Source organism: Homo sapiens, chromosome 8, assembly GCF_000001405.40.
Source record: "Homo sapiens chromosome 8, GRCh38.p14 Primary Assembly".
Taxonomy (NCBI): Eukaryota; Metazoa; Chordata; class Mammalia; order Primates; family Hominidae; genus Homo; species Homo sapiens.
The window spans coordinates 106640458-106658956 of NC_000008.11; the positions used below are offsets into that span (position 1 = coordinate 106640458).

At 37.6% G+C, this 18499-nt stretch overlaps 1 protein-coding gene and 1 long non-coding RNA gene across 24 annotated transcripts in view, besides 3 other annotated features; one reads left to right on the plus strand and one right to left on the minus strand.

Annotated features, from left to right (window-relative positions):
• The window catches only part of OXR1-AS1 (OXR1 antisense RNA 1), a 140687-nt gene extending 123424 nt beyond the window's left edge, over positions 1 to 17263 (minus strand). Inside the window, exons 1-3 of one of the 11 annotated variants that reach the window (XR_007061061.1) lie at positions 15654 to 17263; positions 6260 to 6319; positions 190 to 918 (exon numbers count right to left, since the gene is read on the minus strand). This is a non-coding gene — a long non-coding RNA (OXR1 antisense RNA 1). Of the gene's footprint in view, positions 1 to 189 lie in introns of those variants that run through there. The other 10 variants (XR_007061060.1, XR_007061053.1, XR_007061057.1 and 7 more) reach the window with 10 other exon arrangements.
• OXR1 (oxidation resistance 1) overlaps positions 1 to 18499 on the plus strand; it is a 482517-nt gene that overhangs the window by 370280 nt on the left and 93738 nt on the right. For 3 of the 13 annotated variants that reach the window (XR_007060735.1, XM_017013589.3, NM_181354.4), the window contains exon 1: positions 17351 to 17728. The exons of 9 other annotated variants lie outside the window; for them this stretch is intronic. Coding sequence is in view for 2 of the 4 variants with exons in the window: in XM_017013589.3 (XP_016869078.1) it covers positions 17530 to 17728 (199 nt within the window). In the remaining 2 variants the exon portion in view is untranslated. Of the gene's footprint in view, positions 1 to 17350; positions 17729 to 18499 lie in introns of those variants that run through there. One more of the 13 variants, XM_017013593.3, reaches the window with a different exon arrangement.
• Positions 17154 to 17363: an enhancer, noted in NCBI's record as "active region_27801". NCBI's record gives its function as "activates an Ori minimal core promoter by ATAC-STARR-seq in GM12878 lymphoblastoid cells {active_cell/tissue: GM12878}" and the evidence as "EXISTENCE:reporter gene assay evidence [ECO:0000049][PMID:35858748]".
• Positions 17434 to 17683: a silencer, noted in NCBI's record as "silent region_19465". NCBI's record gives its function as "represses an Ori minimal core promoter by ATAC-STARR-seq in GM12878 lymphoblastoid cells {active_cell/tissue: GM12878}" and the evidence as "EXISTENCE:reporter gene assay evidence [ECO:0000049][PMID:35858748]".
• Positions 17724 to 17873: a silencer, noted in NCBI's record as "silent region_19466". NCBI's record gives its function as "represses an Ori minimal core promoter by ATAC-STARR-seq in GM12878 lymphoblastoid cells {active_cell/tissue: GM12878}" and the evidence as "EXISTENCE:reporter gene assay evidence [ECO:0000049][PMID:35858748]".

Consider the following 18499-nt stretch of genomic DNA (forward strand, 5'->3'; position numbering starts at 1 on the left):
ATCATTGAGACCTTAAGGATAAGCAGGCATCTGTATGGCGCTCTTTTTATTTTATCTAAGACATATGGTCTCTTCTTTTGAGGAGAAAGTAGTGAGAATGGCAGAGGAATCCTCTCTTTAATAATAATAGAATAAGTACATGTATATTTAAAGTGTGAATAACATGTAATCTTTACTTTGGGAAGTAACTTCGATAGCATAAAAATAACATTTATTTCTTTGCAAATCAATTTTTAGAAATACCCTAAACTGATTATATTTAAATTACATCTGAGAAAGACAAATTTAAAATTTTGAAATTCAAATTTTGCCAGTGATTCAATGTTCAAATTCTTGCAATAATAGTTACAACTTTGTTTTTAACAAATACACCCTATGTTTGTTCACAATACTTGAAAGAATACATAGCATGCTTTTTACTAGTTCCAAAATCAAACTAGAACATATGCATACTATAAAGTAAATTTACTTCATTTATTTATGACAAGCTTATATGCATGTTGCAGAAATTCACTGAGGTAAAACTCACTTCTATACTTTTTAACTAAAATTTTAAGAAAGCATCTACATAGACAGTAGTATAACTCTACAAGTTATCAAATACATCCAATCATGCTAATGACATTTACAACATATAAATTTGCTAGCTAAAGAAACATCATTCTGTTAGCCATAAACTTTTTTGCACACAGCTGTCTTCTTCTTTTTGCCATATGAGCTTACAATCACATCTTTCATTCCCAGATTTTTCTGTGCCAATTGAAGCTAAGTCAAACTGGTATAAAGAAGGCTTTAGAGAGTAGGATGTCTTGAATGGGACCTCATAGCTTTTGAAGCTAGTGAGTGAAAACGTGGGGCTGAAAGAGCAAGCCCAGAAAGATATGTCAGGAAGTGGCAACAGCCTGCCCTGCATCTTCTCTGTAAATGAGATGGAGAAGCATCAGGATCAATAGAAGCATGTTATCTCCACGCACAGCATACTAAAGTACGAGTGTTAAAGAATATTGAATATTGTGTCTAGATACAGGATGAAATAAGGCTTTTTACAAACAGACTATAAAAGTTGCCAGAGGTGTAAGGTGGTTATGGGAGCGCTGAATCTTTCTCAACATCCAGTAGAATAGGGTTTCTTAATTGAGTATTAGTAGCATACCCAAAAAATCAAACTCTGGCAAACAAAGTCATGAGTAATCTTAATAAGAAAGCAAAATGGGGCGATACCAGTGTGATTTGGCAAGCTGTTTTCTGAGCTTAGTTCTTAGAAGAAACAAAAGAGGAACATATTACCAGGGACAAAAAACAAACAAAAAAGACTGGCATAAAACTGTGAAAGAGTATCAGGCCAAAACATAGAGTGAGGTTATATAAGCACCAAAAAAACTAGTGAAAAGGAAAGTCCTACAATAAAGGAGAACAAGATGGATGGGTGAGGCTTGTGTTGTTTAACAATTTATTAAAAGAAAGAGTAAGTTTAATGCCTATTTAATTTTTTTTTTAAGAGATGGGGTCTTGCCATATTGCCCTGGCTAGGCTTGAACTCCTGGGCTCAAGAGATCCTCCCAGCTCAGTGTCCCAAGTTGCTGTGACTACAGGTGTGCACAACCACACTTGGCCACAGTTTTGCTTTATTTTTCTCAATTAAGAAGAATGAGCTACAAGGAAGTACAAAACAAATACTGTAAAATTGAAATTTTTAGGCTAAGGCACACAGGGATACAGTGAAAGAACACCTACATCTACTTTACATGAATTGAAACCTCTTGGTCCAGAAAACCAGAATATTTTCCTATGTGGTCACAAAACCTTTGGTAGTAACCTTACAGGAATCATAGTGTATTTTTGACAGTTATACTCCCTCCTGTAACAAACTTCAAAATATATAAAATGGCTTAAATACAAGAGAAGTTTATTCTTGTTTGAGTCTACATTTGGAGTTCCTGGGTGGTGGTGGCTCTCCACTAAGGGTGGGTTCAAGGACCTAGGTACCTTCTATCTCAAGGCTCTGTCATATTTAATAAATGGCTTCTCAAGTCACCATGTTCATCTGCTACAAGTATGTGAAAAGAAAAGAGCATGGAGATCACCAATAGGGACTCTCTGGCCAGGCCTGGAAGTAGCACACACCATTTTTGCAGTCCTTCCATTGGCTAAAAAATAATCACTTGAGCACTGCTGCCCAAAAAGGAATCTGGGAAATGTAGGCTCACTATGTGCCCAGAAAAAAGAAGAATCAGGTTTGGTTACAGCTAGCCATTCTGTAGCTGGATAATGAGACATCTGCCAGAAAACTGTAGTTAGGCGAATAGCCCGAATTTTTAAAATGCTATTGAAATGGAGTTGAAGGGTATAGAAACATCATAGACTTGAAACCATTTCAGAGGGGAAAGCAGTGATCACTTGGAGTCTGTACCTTATCTTCTGCGTATTAGAAAGATGTTTAACTAATATGTGGCATTGTTGATAAATGAGTTCTGGGTGATGGTAGCATTTAGTGGATTCATACTTCTTTAGATTAATGTGTTCAATGAGTGGTAGTCATTGTCATCCTTGAAGGTGTCAGTTGACCTGTGTCTTGTGACTTTCCTTTCTCATGTCTCATTAAATATTTTTATGAACAACCTTAACAGAGGCAAATTTATGGTTGACTCAGTAATTAGGGATACCGAATGTCACTGTGGGTGAAAGAATCAAAATGATCCCAACAGTTTAGAATACAGTCCAACAGAATTTTTCTGAAAAGGGCCAGGGAGCAAATATTTTAGGCTTTTTGGGCCATAAAGTCTCTGTCACACTAGTCAGCTCTGCTGATATAGTCCCAAAGCAGCCGCAGACAATACATAAATGAATGGGCATGGCTGTGTTCAAAGGAAACCAAATTTATAAAAACAGATGGCCGGCCAGATTTGGTTCATGGGCCATAGTTTGCTGTTCCCTGGTCTAGAAGAATAGGCTGAAATTCTGAAGGGAATCAATAGAATTTTTTTTTTTTTTAATTTACAGCCAAAGAACAATGGGCCTAATACATACATCATGTCCTTTCTAATAATAGAAGAGCTCCAAGTTAGGCACTATTTGCTCTTATTTTACAGATCAGAAAGCTACATCTCAATACATAAATAAGTCAATAGTTTGACCTAGCTTTCACAGCCAGAAAACCCGCTGTGGGACATCATGCCACTTTAACCAAATGTTTGGGTGAACTGAGAGAGTAACAGTTAATTGCTTGAGTAAAAGATGGAGGGAAATGTCATGTGGCAGCATTTCCCATGGGCAAACCCTGCGTTCTGGCTCTGTTCTTTTCCAAGTGTGTGACCTTGAGAGGTACACTTGACCTCTCTCGGCCTTGATGACCCAATCCATAAAAATGAAAGGCTTGACTAGATAAACACCAAGGCCCCGCTCATGTCTTATGGTTAAGGTTGCGATTAGTATGTTAAGGGCATTGTGTGAAAGACAATTGAGATGTATTCTTTGTAGCTCTTAAAGTAATTATTTTCAACCATTTTCTAGTGTACTTTTATGGGAGAACAGTATGTAAAACATAAAAATGGCATTTTATGAGCCTACATGTGTTTTACAAGTTCAAATTTACATTTTGATTATAAAGATATTTATTGAGAGAATAAGGCTGATAGGAAACCAAATTTTTAAACTGGGAGGATAAATGATCGACAGATTCTTTTTAGCTTCAGCAACTCCGCATTCTCCCCATTTTGCTTTTGTTGTTTGTTGGTTTTCCTCTGGTTGTATTAAGAAAATACTTATTCACATACACAAAAGGTAAATGAATAGTTTCGCAATCTCAGAATACTTTTCAGAATATAGACATGGCAAGAGACAATTGAAAAGCAAAATCATTAACAAATCAGGTGATCTTTAGCATATTAATATATCATTAAAAATGTAACTTAATCATTTGCAAAATCTATCAGTCAAAATAAGCTAAGCTTATTCTGTGATGCCAAATGAACCCCTAAACCTAAGTGACTTGCTGAAATAGGTGTATATTTCTTGATGTATTTCTTGTTCCTCTTACATATCCAATTTTGGGTTGTATTGGGAGCAGGGGCTCTGATCCATATAGTTACATAGGGATCCAGACTGATGGAGGCTCCACCATCTTGTAGCTGTACCGTCCTGTGCACATCATATCCTTAGCTGCTGAGGCAGGGGCTGAGGCACCTGGAGCGTAAAACACTGGCAGTTTTAAACAGCGCCTGTTCTTTGCACACGTATGTGAAACACATACATCACTGCTCGGTGGTTGCCAGATCTAGTCTCATGGACCTTTTTCGGAAGTCATTGTGTGACTCATATGAACTAAATATGCAAAAACCATTTGGAAGAACTAAAGTAGCAGGCCGCAAACGTGGCTTATAATTTAAAAATTGAGGTTCCTGAGTTCCCCACCCTACAGCCATGGAACCAGAATCTCTGCGTATAGTTGGAGAATTTTAATTTTTTAAAAAGTTCCACAGCTGATTCTCATTATCAACAGGCAGCTGCTGCTGTGAACAAGGAGTGTTTTTAAAGCGGAGAAAAGGCAATACTTAGATTGGCGGATTTAAGATTACCCTGGCTGCAGTGTTGGAGATCGATTAAAGAGGGGGTAAAGTAGAAGCTGGGAGATTTCATTTTACTACATAATGTATAGGCTCTAATGAGCAAACACAAATGCATGTGCTTACATATCATGCAGTGTGTTAGCAGAACTAGCTCAATCTGAGGGCCTAACAATGTTGTTGATGTCTCTGTATATTTAAGAATCTTATCCCCAACCCTTCCTTCCGGACTCCTAGAAAACCAGTAGGGTAGGTACAAATTGGCTGCCAACCAGTCCTTGTTCAATGCATTTGATAAATTCTACTGGTGGTGGTGGCTGTATAGCCAGCTTGGCACCCATATGAGTCTGTGGATAGTAGGTGGGGCTGAGGTGCCTAGGCATGCCCTGCTTCTCTCTTGAGAGGCAATTAGAAATGATCCAACTTTCCTTCAAGCCTGTTAGGGCAGCATAGATTTGAGTTTTGAATCTGGTTATATTGCTGTGTCTACTGTTCTCTAGGAAGACTTGAGAATTTAGAGTAGATCTGCAACAGAAGAAAATGACCAGTGCATGATTCTGCTTGAAAACTAAACCTGTCTAGTCAGTGCTGGATCATTTAAAGATTGACCATCTAGGTTTGAATTTCTCTTCCTATATGCTGACTGCCTTTGGGCTGATTCACCTGGGGATATTAGCATCTTTCCCAGATTGTGTTTGGTATGGGGAGGTGGGGAGTTAGGGAACTCCCATCTACTTTGGGAAGAGGAATAAGTTCTATTCCTTTCAAACATTATGTACAGCACTTAGGAGTTTGCTGTTCATGCATCATGGCTGAAACATTTGGACAATTGATAAAAATTTGTCATTGCTGCCCAGCACTTTCTCTGAGATGGATGAACTTATAGGTAGGCTCTCTTTTTATTGTACTTCATTTCATCTTGTATTGACACAGCCCCAGTTATAGACTTTCCCCCAACAGAAGGAACAACAACAACAAAAAACTACCTAACTACTGGTTACAGGTTAAAGCTGGAAATGTGCTGGCAACAGATTTAGGTTTTTCCAATATTATTTTGCCTGTTCATCTTCTTTTTTCTCTATTATCTTTTTTTTTTCTTTTTTTGAGACAGAGTCTCACTCTGTTGCCCAGGCTAGAGTGCAGTGGCGTGATCTCGGCTCACTGCAACCTCCGCCCCCCAAGTTCAAACGATTCTCCTGCCTCAGTTTCCCAAGTAGCTGGGATTACAGGTGCACACCACCAAGCCTGACTAATTTTTGTAATTTTTAGTAGAGATTGGTTTTCGCTATGTTGGCCAGGCTGGTCTCAAACTCCTGACCTCAGGGTGATCTGCTCACCTCAGATTCCCAAAGTGCTGGAATTACAGGCATGAGCCACCGCGCTTGGCCCTATTATCTTTAATAAAAACAAAGATAGGGAAATTATCCAAAAAATTAGCTAAAAGCTATATAACTTTAAAATATGTGAAATTAATAATTTCAATAAAGTACTTAATATACCACAAAACAAATGTTTTCACTTATCAGCTTTTCAGATTAAGTATCAAAATTCTATTCAAGTAACATGAGAAGGTACAGCAATATGTGAAGACCCATTATAGAATTAAGAGAGGAGAAGAGGAAGAACAAGGGTAAAGAAGGGCCCAGAAAGATAAAAAGACAGAGGGTAAGACCTCCTTATAGCTATGCATACAGTACCTTCTGTAGACACACACTCTCTACTGCAACCTCAAAGAAAGTGCAGGCAGGAAAAGAAATCTGCAGAAGAAAGAAAATGAGAATGTTTGTCTTCATGATGTAACATTATTCTTTGGGTGTCCTGATGAGCTATTGTTCCTCAAGGTTTTTAAAGCTTTATTGAGTTTTCAGAACTTTAAGCACCATTGGTAATACCAATTGGCACTTGTCCAATGAGCTGAGTGAAACTGATCCAAAAGCTCCAGAAGCTGCCACATTCCAGGTATGGAGTATTTGGGGGCTGTAATTATACCATTGTAATTACTGTCTTTAATAGGATTAAAAATAGAACTGGAATAATTCTATGGTAAGTTGATGTCACTTATTGTGACCCAAGTTTCAATTATAATTGTTAACGATGCTATTGCTGAGTCCTTGTTTGGCTTGACTGCCATGCAGTGTTTTTCTGATGAGTGAAGGAGTTAACACCTTTTGGACAATTTTCAGAATTGAAAGAAAATTACTTGGTTTTTAGTAGGGTTTGTAATTATTATATCCAAGGTTGGTATCTTCTAGAGGGGAACTTTTTAGAAAATTAATATTAGACTCTCTCCCAGTCTATTGAAAGGCCGTATTAAATCTCTATCATATACTCTTCAATGCTGTGATCATGATTATATTCAAACGATAACCCACATTCTTCCTCTTTGTGGTCATTTGGGACACAGGTGGCAGTCTCACATATGATAAGGAATTTGAATGTTAGCATAAACCATTTTAGTGGCAAAAAACACACAAATGCTTTATATAAAAAAAGAGTCAATTTTAAGGGTATCAAATTTGTCTATGAAGTTAAGCTTTAGGTTTACTGGCAGATGCAGATGTAGTGACTGTATAATAGATTCATGCCTTAGTTTCTAAACTTACAAAATCTGTTTGCTTAGTTTAGTGTCAGATTGTCAGTCTGCTTTATTGATTCCATCAGTGGTTTGGCTTATCATATCAGAAATTTGAGTGCTGACTTCTGGCCTCAAGCGATCCTCTGGCCTCAGCCTCCCAACGTGCTTAGATTACGGGTGTGGGCTATGATGCCCAACCCTAACATTTCTATCTTATGAAATAGTTGACAGGTAGATATAATTTGTTACTGGAGAAGATTATTTTTTCATTTTGTTCTTTTAAGATCCAATTGTTATTTTCTGAGTTTATTAACATAGCTAGCCTTATAATGAGAACACAGCTCTCACTTTTACCATTTTGCTTAAAGATTTGCAGATGTGTCGTGCTCATATACTTCAATGTCTCTGTGTTTTCTCAGGATGTTACAGTTCTGCTTCTTTTATTTCCTAAAATTCAATAATTTTATCTGTGTTAAAAAGTATTTTAAAATGTAATGAACACAATGTTGTGGCTACTCATAATAGTTTTAGTGAATCAGGAAGTATGCCAGGGGATGGTTGTTAGTAGAAAAACCATTTCATGTCATCTTCAGTAAAAGATAAAGAAGTGAGCTTGAATTCAGAGAGCTTGGTATATAGGATGACTGACAGAGATAGGAGCTGGGGCAGGAATAAAAAGATTGAGAAGATTGAACATTAAACAGAACTTCAGTCATTAGCCAATGTAAACAAGCAATCAAAGAATAGTCCCCTTAAAATAGGAATCATTTAATTCATCTAACAATTAAGAAAATATAAACATTACAAACCAATGTTTTTGTTAATCTGGTTCTAATTATTTTTAGGTTACTGATGATATTCTTTTAGTATAAAAATATAAAATCAGAGCCATTTGCCTAGTTTTCATGTCATTTTTCTTCATATTTTCAGAAATCATTGTCTTACTTGAAAGTTTTCTACTTAAGATTCCACAATTAAAAGAACAATGTTTCCTTTAAGGAATAGTGCTGCGGGGGCAGGGGCAGAATTTCTTAAAGCATTTTGGGGAGTGGTTTAACTAAATAACCTACATATAGTAGTGCACAAGTTTCCAACTTATTAATAGTTGCTTTCCAGTGAGTTTTTAGCTCCTACATTTTTTTTGGAAGTAAATGTGATGTAATTAAATTAAATATTCTAGCAACTAACAACAAAAGGCTTTTTCAACAGATAATAATAAATTGAACTCGGAAACTGTAAAAAGAATGAAGGAGAACTAATAGAAATTGATATGGAAAGGTGTCTAAGACAAAGTGAAGTAAAAATATTTGTATAAAACTATGGACATTGGCCAGGCATCTTGGCTCATGCCTGTAATCACAGCATTTTGGGAAGCAGAGGCATGCAGATCGTTTGAGCCCAGGAGTTGAAGAACAGGCTGGGCAACATGGCAAAACCCTGTCTCTACAAAAACTACAATAATTAGTTGGGTGTGATAGCATGTGCCTATGGTCCCAGCTACTTAGGAGGCTGAGGCAGGAGGATGGATTGATCCCAGGAGGTCGAGGATGCAGTGAGCCCTGATCACACCACTGCATGCCAGCCTGGACAACAGAGTAAGACCCTATCTCAAACAAGAAAACAACAACAACAACAACAAAATTGTGGACACAATATGTTCCCATTTGTGTGGGTTTTTTTTTTAAAGAAACACACATGCATATATACACATACTAATCCCTATGTAAATATATGCATACAAAATTTACAGAAGGATATACACAAAGCTGTGGAGGTTGATTCAGGAAGGATGTAACAAATTTACTATTATATAGCCTTCTGTACTATAGTTTTGTTTTCCCATATGCATGTACCCAGTTATATATTGTCCTTTTAATTTAAACATCTAGTAAAAAATAATAATTTCAATGAGACCAGAAATTACTAAGCAAAGGAAATGGCAAGGTAGTTCTACTTTTTTGGAAAAAAAAAAAAAAGAAAAGATGGTCATTGTATTTGAAACTTAAGACAAGATAATAACACGTATTATCTGGTTAATGAATGCCTGTCCTGTCTTCACAAGGATTTTTCCTGACATAAAATTCTAAATATCTGTCAAAAATATATATATATATATACTTGAGATGGAGTCTCGCTCTGTCGCCCAGGCTGGAGTGCAGTGGCGCGGTCTCGGCTCACTGCAACCTCTGCCTCCCAGGTTCACGCCATTCTCCTGCCTCAGCCTCCCAAATAGCTGGGACTACAGGCACCCACCGCCACGCCCAGCTAATTTTTTGTATTTTTAGTAGAGACAGGGTTTCACTGTGTTAGCCAGAATGGTCTCGACCTCCTGACTTCATGATCCGCCCACCTTGGCCTCCCAAAGTGCTGGGATTACAGGTGTGAGTCACCGCACCTGGCCAAAAATATTTTTTAATTATATACACTAAATAACAACATAATGAATAATGTCTTCAATATCAGTTCCTCACACAATTATTTCTTGCGTTGAACTTCAATAAAATTCAGAATATAACACTAATGGTATAACTTGATAAGGTATTTTATAGGAAGCATTATAGCTCACATTTACCAAGGCTTAATGTTTTACAGGCACTCTTGTAGGCATATTGCTTGCATGATGTTATTAAATCTTCCCGACATCTCTATATGATCTCTATTTTACAGGTAAGGAACCTGAGGGAGAGAGAGGCTAAGTCAGTTACTTTCCCATTACGCTGCTAGTAAGTGGCAAAGCCAGGATCTGAAGTTAGACTAAGGGCCCATGTTCTCAATGATGAGACATGCCTTAGGTATACTGACTGCAGATGACCTAACTTGATATGCCTGTAACTCTTAGACAACTTAAGAAAGATCACATTTTTCTTACTGATGATTGAGAAATGCAGTCTATCTCAAATGCCTTTCATAGGAGCTGAATGACAGTCAGATTGGCAGTGGACAGTCTAGCAAGCTCCTACAAGATAGAATGGGCTTATGGGAAACAGGTCCTTTTTAACTTAAAAAATCATTTTCGAATAGGTGATACATGCATATTATACACACAGTGAAAATTAAGGCTCTCTCTCATCACACCCTAAGCCACCCACTTCTTTTCTCAGAAAGCAACCACCATTACTAGGTTCTTATATATACTAACAGAAATGTTTTATTTGTATGTGGATAACTACACATACTTCACATTGTTTTCAAAAATTGAAGCATACGACATGTGGTGTTCTATATCTTCCTTTCCCCCTTAAAAATACTTTTCTCAAGATTCTTTCATAATCAGTTATACCAGGAACTGTGTAGTTATTTTTAATGGCTGAATAATATTCCATTATATAGACATGTCATATTGTATTTAATCATTTCCTTATTAGTCACCACTTAGGTTATTTTCAACATTTTGCTATTGCAAATAGAAAATTGCATCATTTCATACATCAGTAGGATAAATATCAAGAAGTGAGGACACTGAGTCAAAAGGAGTGTGCTTTAAAAATGTTGATAGATCCTGCAAAATGACCCTCTTTGATGATCCTGCAAAACGGTAGTACCATTATTCGCTCCCCTACTAGTAATATATGAAAGTGGTAGTTTCCACCCACTGTTAGCAAAATGGCTTGAAACTTTTTGATCTTCACCATCCTGATAGAAGAAAATGGTATTTATTGGCAGATATTTGCATTCCTCTTATTAGTAATGAAGCAAATTTGTTGTTTATGCCTTTGGTGTAATCTCTGAGTCCACTGCCAATTCCAAGATCATGAAGATTCACCTTATGTTTTCTTCTAGGAATTTAATAGTTTTAAGTCATACACTTATGTCTTTAATCTATTCTGAGTTCATTTCTGTCCACGGTGTGAGGTAAGGGTTTAATCTCATTCTTTTGTATGTGAATATGGAGTTGTTACTGCACCATTTATTGAAGCCACTATTTTTCCCCATTAAATGGCCTGGGCATCATTGTTGAAAATCAGTCTGTTTTCCCTAAATGTATGTGTTTACTTCTGAACCCTGAATTATATTTCATCAATCTGTACATCTATTCTTACGCCAGTACTACGGTTTTTGATTACTGTAGCTTTGAAGAAAGTTTTGAAATTGGGAAGTATGAGTCCCCCAACTCTGTTTTTCTTTTTAAATATTGTGTTGGTTCTTTGGGGTTCCTTGCAATTCTATATGAATTTGAGGATGGGATTTTCCATATCTGTAAATAAAACAGGGGAATTTTGATAGGGAGTGTATTGCATCTGTATATTGATTTCTGAATTGCCATTTTAACAATATTAAGTTTTCTAGTCCATGTATATGGGATGTCTTTCCATTTATTTAGATTTTCTTTAACTTCTTTCAATTATGTTTTGTATTTTTCAGTAAATGTCTTGCTCCTCCTTGGATAGATTTATTTCTAAGTATTTTTGTCTTTTTGATGCTACTATAAATGGAATTATTTTCTTAATTTCATTTTTGGATTAGAGATGCCTTTTTGTAATGTGTCTATTTGCAGGGGTATCTCTTTCTAATCGCACAAAAACATCTTGTGCTGGCACTGGTGATCTTTGGGAGTGTAACATCAGCTTGAAAGTGCCATAGAAATAGGGACTCTCTATCTTAGTGCTGAGTAGGCATTTACTAAAGCTGAATGAATGGATGACAATTTGCTGAGAGTGAGCTTGGGTAGGAGCTTAAGAGAGGCAGCAAATATGGATTTTCAAGAAATTCAGTGATGAATGGAAGGCCTTAAAAATGAAGGAAATGGAATATTATCCAGGATAGACTATAAACTAGGCCATAAAAAAACTCAATGATTTTGAAAGGATGGGGGAATTGTACCAAGTATGTTCTCTAACTACAGTAAAATTAAGTTAGAAGTCAAAAACACAAAGAAATTTGGGAAATTCACAAACATGTGGAAATTAAACAACATACTCCTAAATAGCCAATGAGTCAAATAATAAGTCATAAGGAAAATTACTTTGAGATAAATAAAAACTAAAGTACAATATACCAAAATTTGTGGGACAGAACTAATGAGGTATGTAGCTGTAAAAACCTATATTATTAAAAAAAAAGAAGATTTCAAATCAATAGCCTAACCTTCTGCCTTATGAAACTAGGGAGGTTGGGGGGCGGCGGGGGGAAATAGAAGATACTAAACACAAAACAAATAGAAGGAAATTATAAAGATTAGCATGGATATTAATGGAATAGGAAATAGAAAAACATTAGAGAAACCTCATTAATGAAACCTCAAGTTGGCTCTCTGCAAGGAGCAACAAAATTGACAAAGATTTAGATCGAGCAAGAAAAAAACAGAGATGACTCAAATTACTAAAATTAGGAGTAAAAGAGCTGATATTAATATAAATCAGAGAAATGAACAGGATTATAAAGGAATACTATGAACAACAAATTAGATGACTTACATTAAATGAACAAATTCCTAGAAAGACAAAACTACCAAAACTGACTGACACAAGGAGAAATAGAAAAAAAAAAAAATATATATATATATATGGTAAATGATTATAGTAATTTAAAATATTACCAGAAAGAAAAGCCTAGAGCCAGATGGCTTCAATGGTGAATTCTACCAAACATTTAAAGAATGATTAGTAACAATCCTTCAGAAACTCTTCCAAAAAAGTGAAAAGGATGGCATACTTCTCAATTCATTGTCAAAGGCCAGTATTACCCAAATACCAAAGCCAGACGAGGATATCACAAGGGAAGAAAAGTATAAACCAATGTAATATCTATTATGAATATAGACAAAAAATAATCAACAGAATACCAACAAACCAAATCAAGCATCATATTATACATTCTGAAGGTTATCTAAGGAAGGCAAGGTTCATTTAATATACAAATATTAATTAATGCAAACACTATATTAACAGGATAAAGGACAAAAAGCACAATATTATATCAACAGAAGCAGAAAAAGCATTTGACAAAATCTAACGTCATTTATGACAAAAAAATTAGAAATTAGGAATAGAATGGTGCTTCCTAAACTAGAGTAAGGGCATCTACAAAAAAACGATGTATAATATCATATTTAATTGTGAAAGACTCAATGCATTTTCTCCAAATTCAGGAATAAAACGATATCTGCTCTCACAACTTCTATTTAATATTGTACTGAAAGTTCTAACCAGGGCAATTAGGCAAGAAAAAAAGGCACCTGAATTGGAAGGGAAAAAACAAAACCACCTTTATTTACAGAAAACATGTACTTATATAGAGAAAATGTTAAGAAATCCATTTAACAATGAATAGAATTTATTAATGAGTCCAGCAAGGTTGTAAGATACAAGAACAGTATTCAAAAATCAATTTTATTTCTGTATACTAGCAATGGCAATCTAAAAAAAATCTATTCACAATATCAACAAAAAATAAAACACTTATTAATGTATGTCACAAAAAAGTACAAGATTTATACAATGAAAAGCACAAAACATTGCTGAAAGCAACTGAAGATCTACCTAAATGGAAAGACATCCTTTTGTTTATAGAAGATATAGCAATACTTCCCATATTGATCTACTGATTTAATGCAATCCCTATCAAAATTACAACTGACTTTTTTCTTTGAAGAAATTGACAAGGTAATCCTAAAATTCATATGGAATGAAAAGGATTCAAAATAGCCAAAACAATCTTCAAAATGAAGAACAAAATGGGAAGACTCACACTTTCCAATTTCAAAACTTACTACAAAGCTACAGTAATCGAGATAGCATGGTATTGGCATGGGTTTAGGAATAGAATTGAGAGTCCAGAAATAAAACCTTGTATTTAAGGTCAATTAATTTTTGATAAAGATGCAAAGACAATGGGGGAAAAATCATCTTTTCAATAAATGGTGCTGGAACAACTGGATAGCCACACATAAAAGAATGAATTTGGACCACTTCCTCACATCAAACCTGAAAATTAACCCAACATAGATCAAAGACCTATATAAGATCAAAGATCTATATTAGACCTATATTAGATCAAAGTCCTATGTTAGATCAAAGACCTAATATAAGAGCTAAATAAAATAAAACTCATAGAAAAAACATAATAGTTAATCTTCGAACTTTGGATTAGTCAGTGATTTCTTAGATACAATGCAAAGCACGGATGTGATAAAAATATTGATAAATTTGGACTTCATCAAAATTAAACCTTTTTGTACATTGAAAGCCACCATTTTGACCCAGCAGTTTCACTTCTATGTATATATGTGAAATGAAAACAGGTCAACAAAAAAACTTAATTACCTAGATGTTCCTACATTATTCACAATAGCTGCAAGGTATGAACAATCCAAATATCCATCAATGGATGAACGGATCAATAAAATGTGGTATATCTTATACAAAGTAATGTTATTTGGTGGTAAGAAGGAATGAAGTACCAATACATGTTACAACATGAAGAAGCCTCAGAAACATTAAGTGAAAGAAGCCAGACCCCAAAGACCAAGCATTATATGAAATGTCTATAAAAGGCAAATCCACCGAGGCAGAAATAGACTAGTGGTTGCCTAGGGCTGCAAGTGTGACTGGGGAGTGACTACAGATGGTAAAAAGTTTCTTTTTGTGGTGATGGAAATGCTCAGGTTCAAAGATTACATTTTGATGATGGCTTTATAACCCTGAATTGTTATCAGGTGAACTATATAATTTTAACACGTGAATTTTACAGTACTTAAATTACATATGAATAAAGTTTTTTTTTTTTAATGAGGCAAAAGGTAGCGTGAAAAAGCAGGCATGGCATATAAGCAAGCTTTTTTTAAGGCTGAGTGACTTATGTGGCTGATAGAGGAAGGATAAGAGGAAAGGAAATATAGTGAAAAGGAACAGAGAGGAATAATAAAGCTGGCAAGTCACAGACAACATAATTAGACTATCAAAAGAAAATCTGGAAGAAAGGCATGGACAGGAATAAAGACCTCCTTCTAAAGCAAGGTAGGGAGAGCAACTTGATGTAGATTGAAGAGAAAAAGGAAAGAAAAATGAATGTTCATATTTGATGGCCTATGATTTTCTGGGTCATGTAGAAGGCAAAGTAACATGTTCAAGTGATGAATTTGGTAACTTTAGGATAATGATGACAGTTCAGACAACAAATACAGAGAATAAAAGAGAACACTGACTATATGAATAGAAGGATTTTAGAGACATTACGACTCAGCCGAGTTTAAATCAAAGATTGTAAGGCATTCAGTCATCAAGGTTATACATTTTTCTCCAGCAGCTCTAGCCTTCTATGAAATAGAAGCAGAAAAAAAACCCAAAACAGATGGGTTAACTACCTGTAAATCTGGATTTGAACTGGTAGAATGAAGCTTCCTGCAAATGTTGGATGTAAAAGTGCAGATCTAATCAGGTAAAATCTCAAGCATTAATTGGATATGCTTATAACAAACCGGTAAATTTTTAGAAGATGTAAAACATATCTTAGAAAAATAATTTAAATTATTAATGAGAATTAGACTAAGTCATTGAAATTTGATTTTTAAAACTTACCGAGCCTCTCTTTCATTGAACTCAGAAGTAGTGTGAATGGTAAGTCTTCCTTGTCAAATGGAATGCTACTTAGCAGCTGTCTTAGCTCGTTCCAGATGCTATAATAAAGCACCATAGACTGACTGACTGGTTTATAAACACACATTTATTTCTCACAGTTCTGGAGGCTAGAAGTCCAAGATCAGGGTGCCAGCATAGTTGGTTTCTGGTGAGGACCTTCTTCTGGTTTGCAAACTGATGTATTTTTGTATCCTCCTGTGGCAGAAAGATGGAGACAGCTCTCTGGGTCCCTTTTTTATAAGGGCACTAATCGCATTCATGCGGCCTCTATGCTATGAATTACCTCCCAAAGGCCCCATCTCCTAATACCATCACATTGGGGTTAGGATTTTAACAAATGAATTTAAGGGAAAGCACAAACATTCCGTCCACTGCAACATCTACAAAATAGGTCCTTAGGAAGTGCAGAAGTCTGGAACAGTTCTTTCCCAAGCCACAACCCTGAAAACATGGATTGCTGGGTATGCAGATTCTCCTGGGTCCCTTTCCCATAAACACCGAATTAGACACTCTGAGGATGCAGCCCAGACATTCTGTATTTTTCACCAGGCATAATGGTGATGGCTGATATTAGAATGGTGAAATTTATCCCACCTAGTAAGAATCTAAACTGAAAATGGTGATGATGCAAAAAAGATCTGTCAACCAGTTAAAAAAAAAAAAAAAAAAAGAGGGTGTGTGTTTGTCAGGAGGGATAGTCTTTAGTAGTATGGCCAAAAGCTTAAGCCTGATTTTCAGGGCTCTATTGTTGGAGTGGGTAGTTCATCAACTTCCTAAGTAATTCAAATCTTTTTCCCCCCAATATATTAATATATTGGTGATTCCAAGAAAGAGGGTTTAATTTATTTAATGCCTGGGAAAACTAAAAGAACTACAAACAGATGTGAAAGGAAGAGAATAACCACATCTCACAGGAAGCAAAATTTCTGTCAAAAGTTACTGTTCTTTCCCTGTCTAGGTTCTTTGTCCCTGAAAGGTAGATCCGCAAACTAAATCCCTCAATAACGTTGCCTAAACAGGACTGGGATCATAGAATGTCCAACACTAACATGAGTTCATAATGGCACAACGAACTTAAAATGTTACTATTCATGTTTTAATTATGATTGCAGTCTTACGTTGAAGGTATCTCCGCCGTCCTTAAACATAAAAAAAAAAAAAGGAAATACAAGCTGCAAAAGTTTTATGTAATGCACTCCACCCTCTTTTTTCCCCAAGCCAACACACACCCTTCAAACTTTTTGACAGTTATTTTCAGACCCCTCCTAGGCTCCCGAACTCCATGCAACTCCAGCAGTCTCCCCTGGGCCATTTTTAGCCTCTGCTCTGACCTGGCGGGAGGCTGGGTGTCCACCCTTTCCCCTGCAGTCCTGAAAGTCCGGTCCGAGCGCGGACGGGGCGGGGAGGGGCTGGGCGGGCCAGGCCAGCTCCATTGGCGCCAGGCGGGTGGGGGAATGCGCTGAGAGGACCCGTCCAGCTTGCTTAAAAGCCATCAGTTTTCTGACCCCGCATCGGTTCCAGGAAGAATACACCTATGTGACAAGCTAAGTTCTGCCTCATTTTGCATTTAGAAGCCACAAGAAAAACTTTTCGAAAACTTTTGTCCGTCTTTTGCTCCCCCGACGCGTGGTTTCCTGATGGTCCGTCCCCGGGCAGAGAGAGGGACGCCCCCTCCTCCTCCCCGCCTCTTGTGAGGCGCGCGGAGCCGCCTCCCCTGGGTCAGGTCTGATGGGCCGGTGGGCGCGCTAGTGGTGGCCGCCACCGCCGAAACCGTCGACCTCCTGGGCCCCAGTTCCGCGTCCAGCCCCGCGGCAGCATGGACTACCTGACGACGTTCACCGAGAAGAGTGGGCGCCTTCTGCGGGGCACGGCCAACCGCCTGTTGGGGTTCGGGGGCGGCGGCGAAGCCCGGCAGGTGCGCTTCGAAGATTACCTGAGGGAGCCAGCCCAGGGGGACCTCGGGTGCGGGTCCCCGCCCCACCGGCCCCCGGCGCCGTCCAGCCCGGAGGGACCTGGTGAGCCCACCTTTCTTTCGCCTCCCGCGCGGCCGACCTGGGCTGAGGGCTGTGGGGAGGCGGCGGTCGTGGCGCCGGGCGGGGGTCGCTGCCCGGCTCTGGCAGGTGTGCCTGGGCCGGGGCGGGCAACGTGGCCGGGGTGGCGGCCGCCGGGGGCGAGGAAGGAAGGACTCGTTCGGCTCTGGGGAGGGAAGACTTTCAGCTGCGTGCCAGCTCTTCCTGCTCTGCTCTTCCTGCTTTCCTCACCTAGACTTGATTTTCTTTCCCCGCCAAGTATTTCAAGGGGACGATCCATTCTCTCTTTCCCTCCCACTGGGAGGTGAAGACTGAACCAGTTATGACGTCCGTGTTTTCAGTCTTGGATTCTTGAAGAGCGCTGTGCCTGCTTTGGTTTTGGTTTGGGTCAGTCTTTCCTTAATATTTCTCAGTTGTTAGGATTCACTTCCTAACCGAAAAATAAAAAGCCAGATACTTCTTTGTAAAATAAAACACTTCATTAACATTGGAAGCTAGTTGACATTTTGCGTCGTGTACTTTTTGAACGGCTGCACGTTGTCTTGTGGTGGCAGAACCTAGAAACTTTCTCAGTTCCTGTTTATTTTGTGTTGTGTTGGCCGATTTTTTTCACCACAGTGGCTTTGTACCATTCTTTAAAACAGTCATTTGTAGCGACATGATATTGATAACTTAAAGAATTTTTGAAAGTGCTGCTGAACAGTTTTAGCATAATGCATAGGGTAACTTCCAGTGTCCTTGGCTTCGTTTAACAGG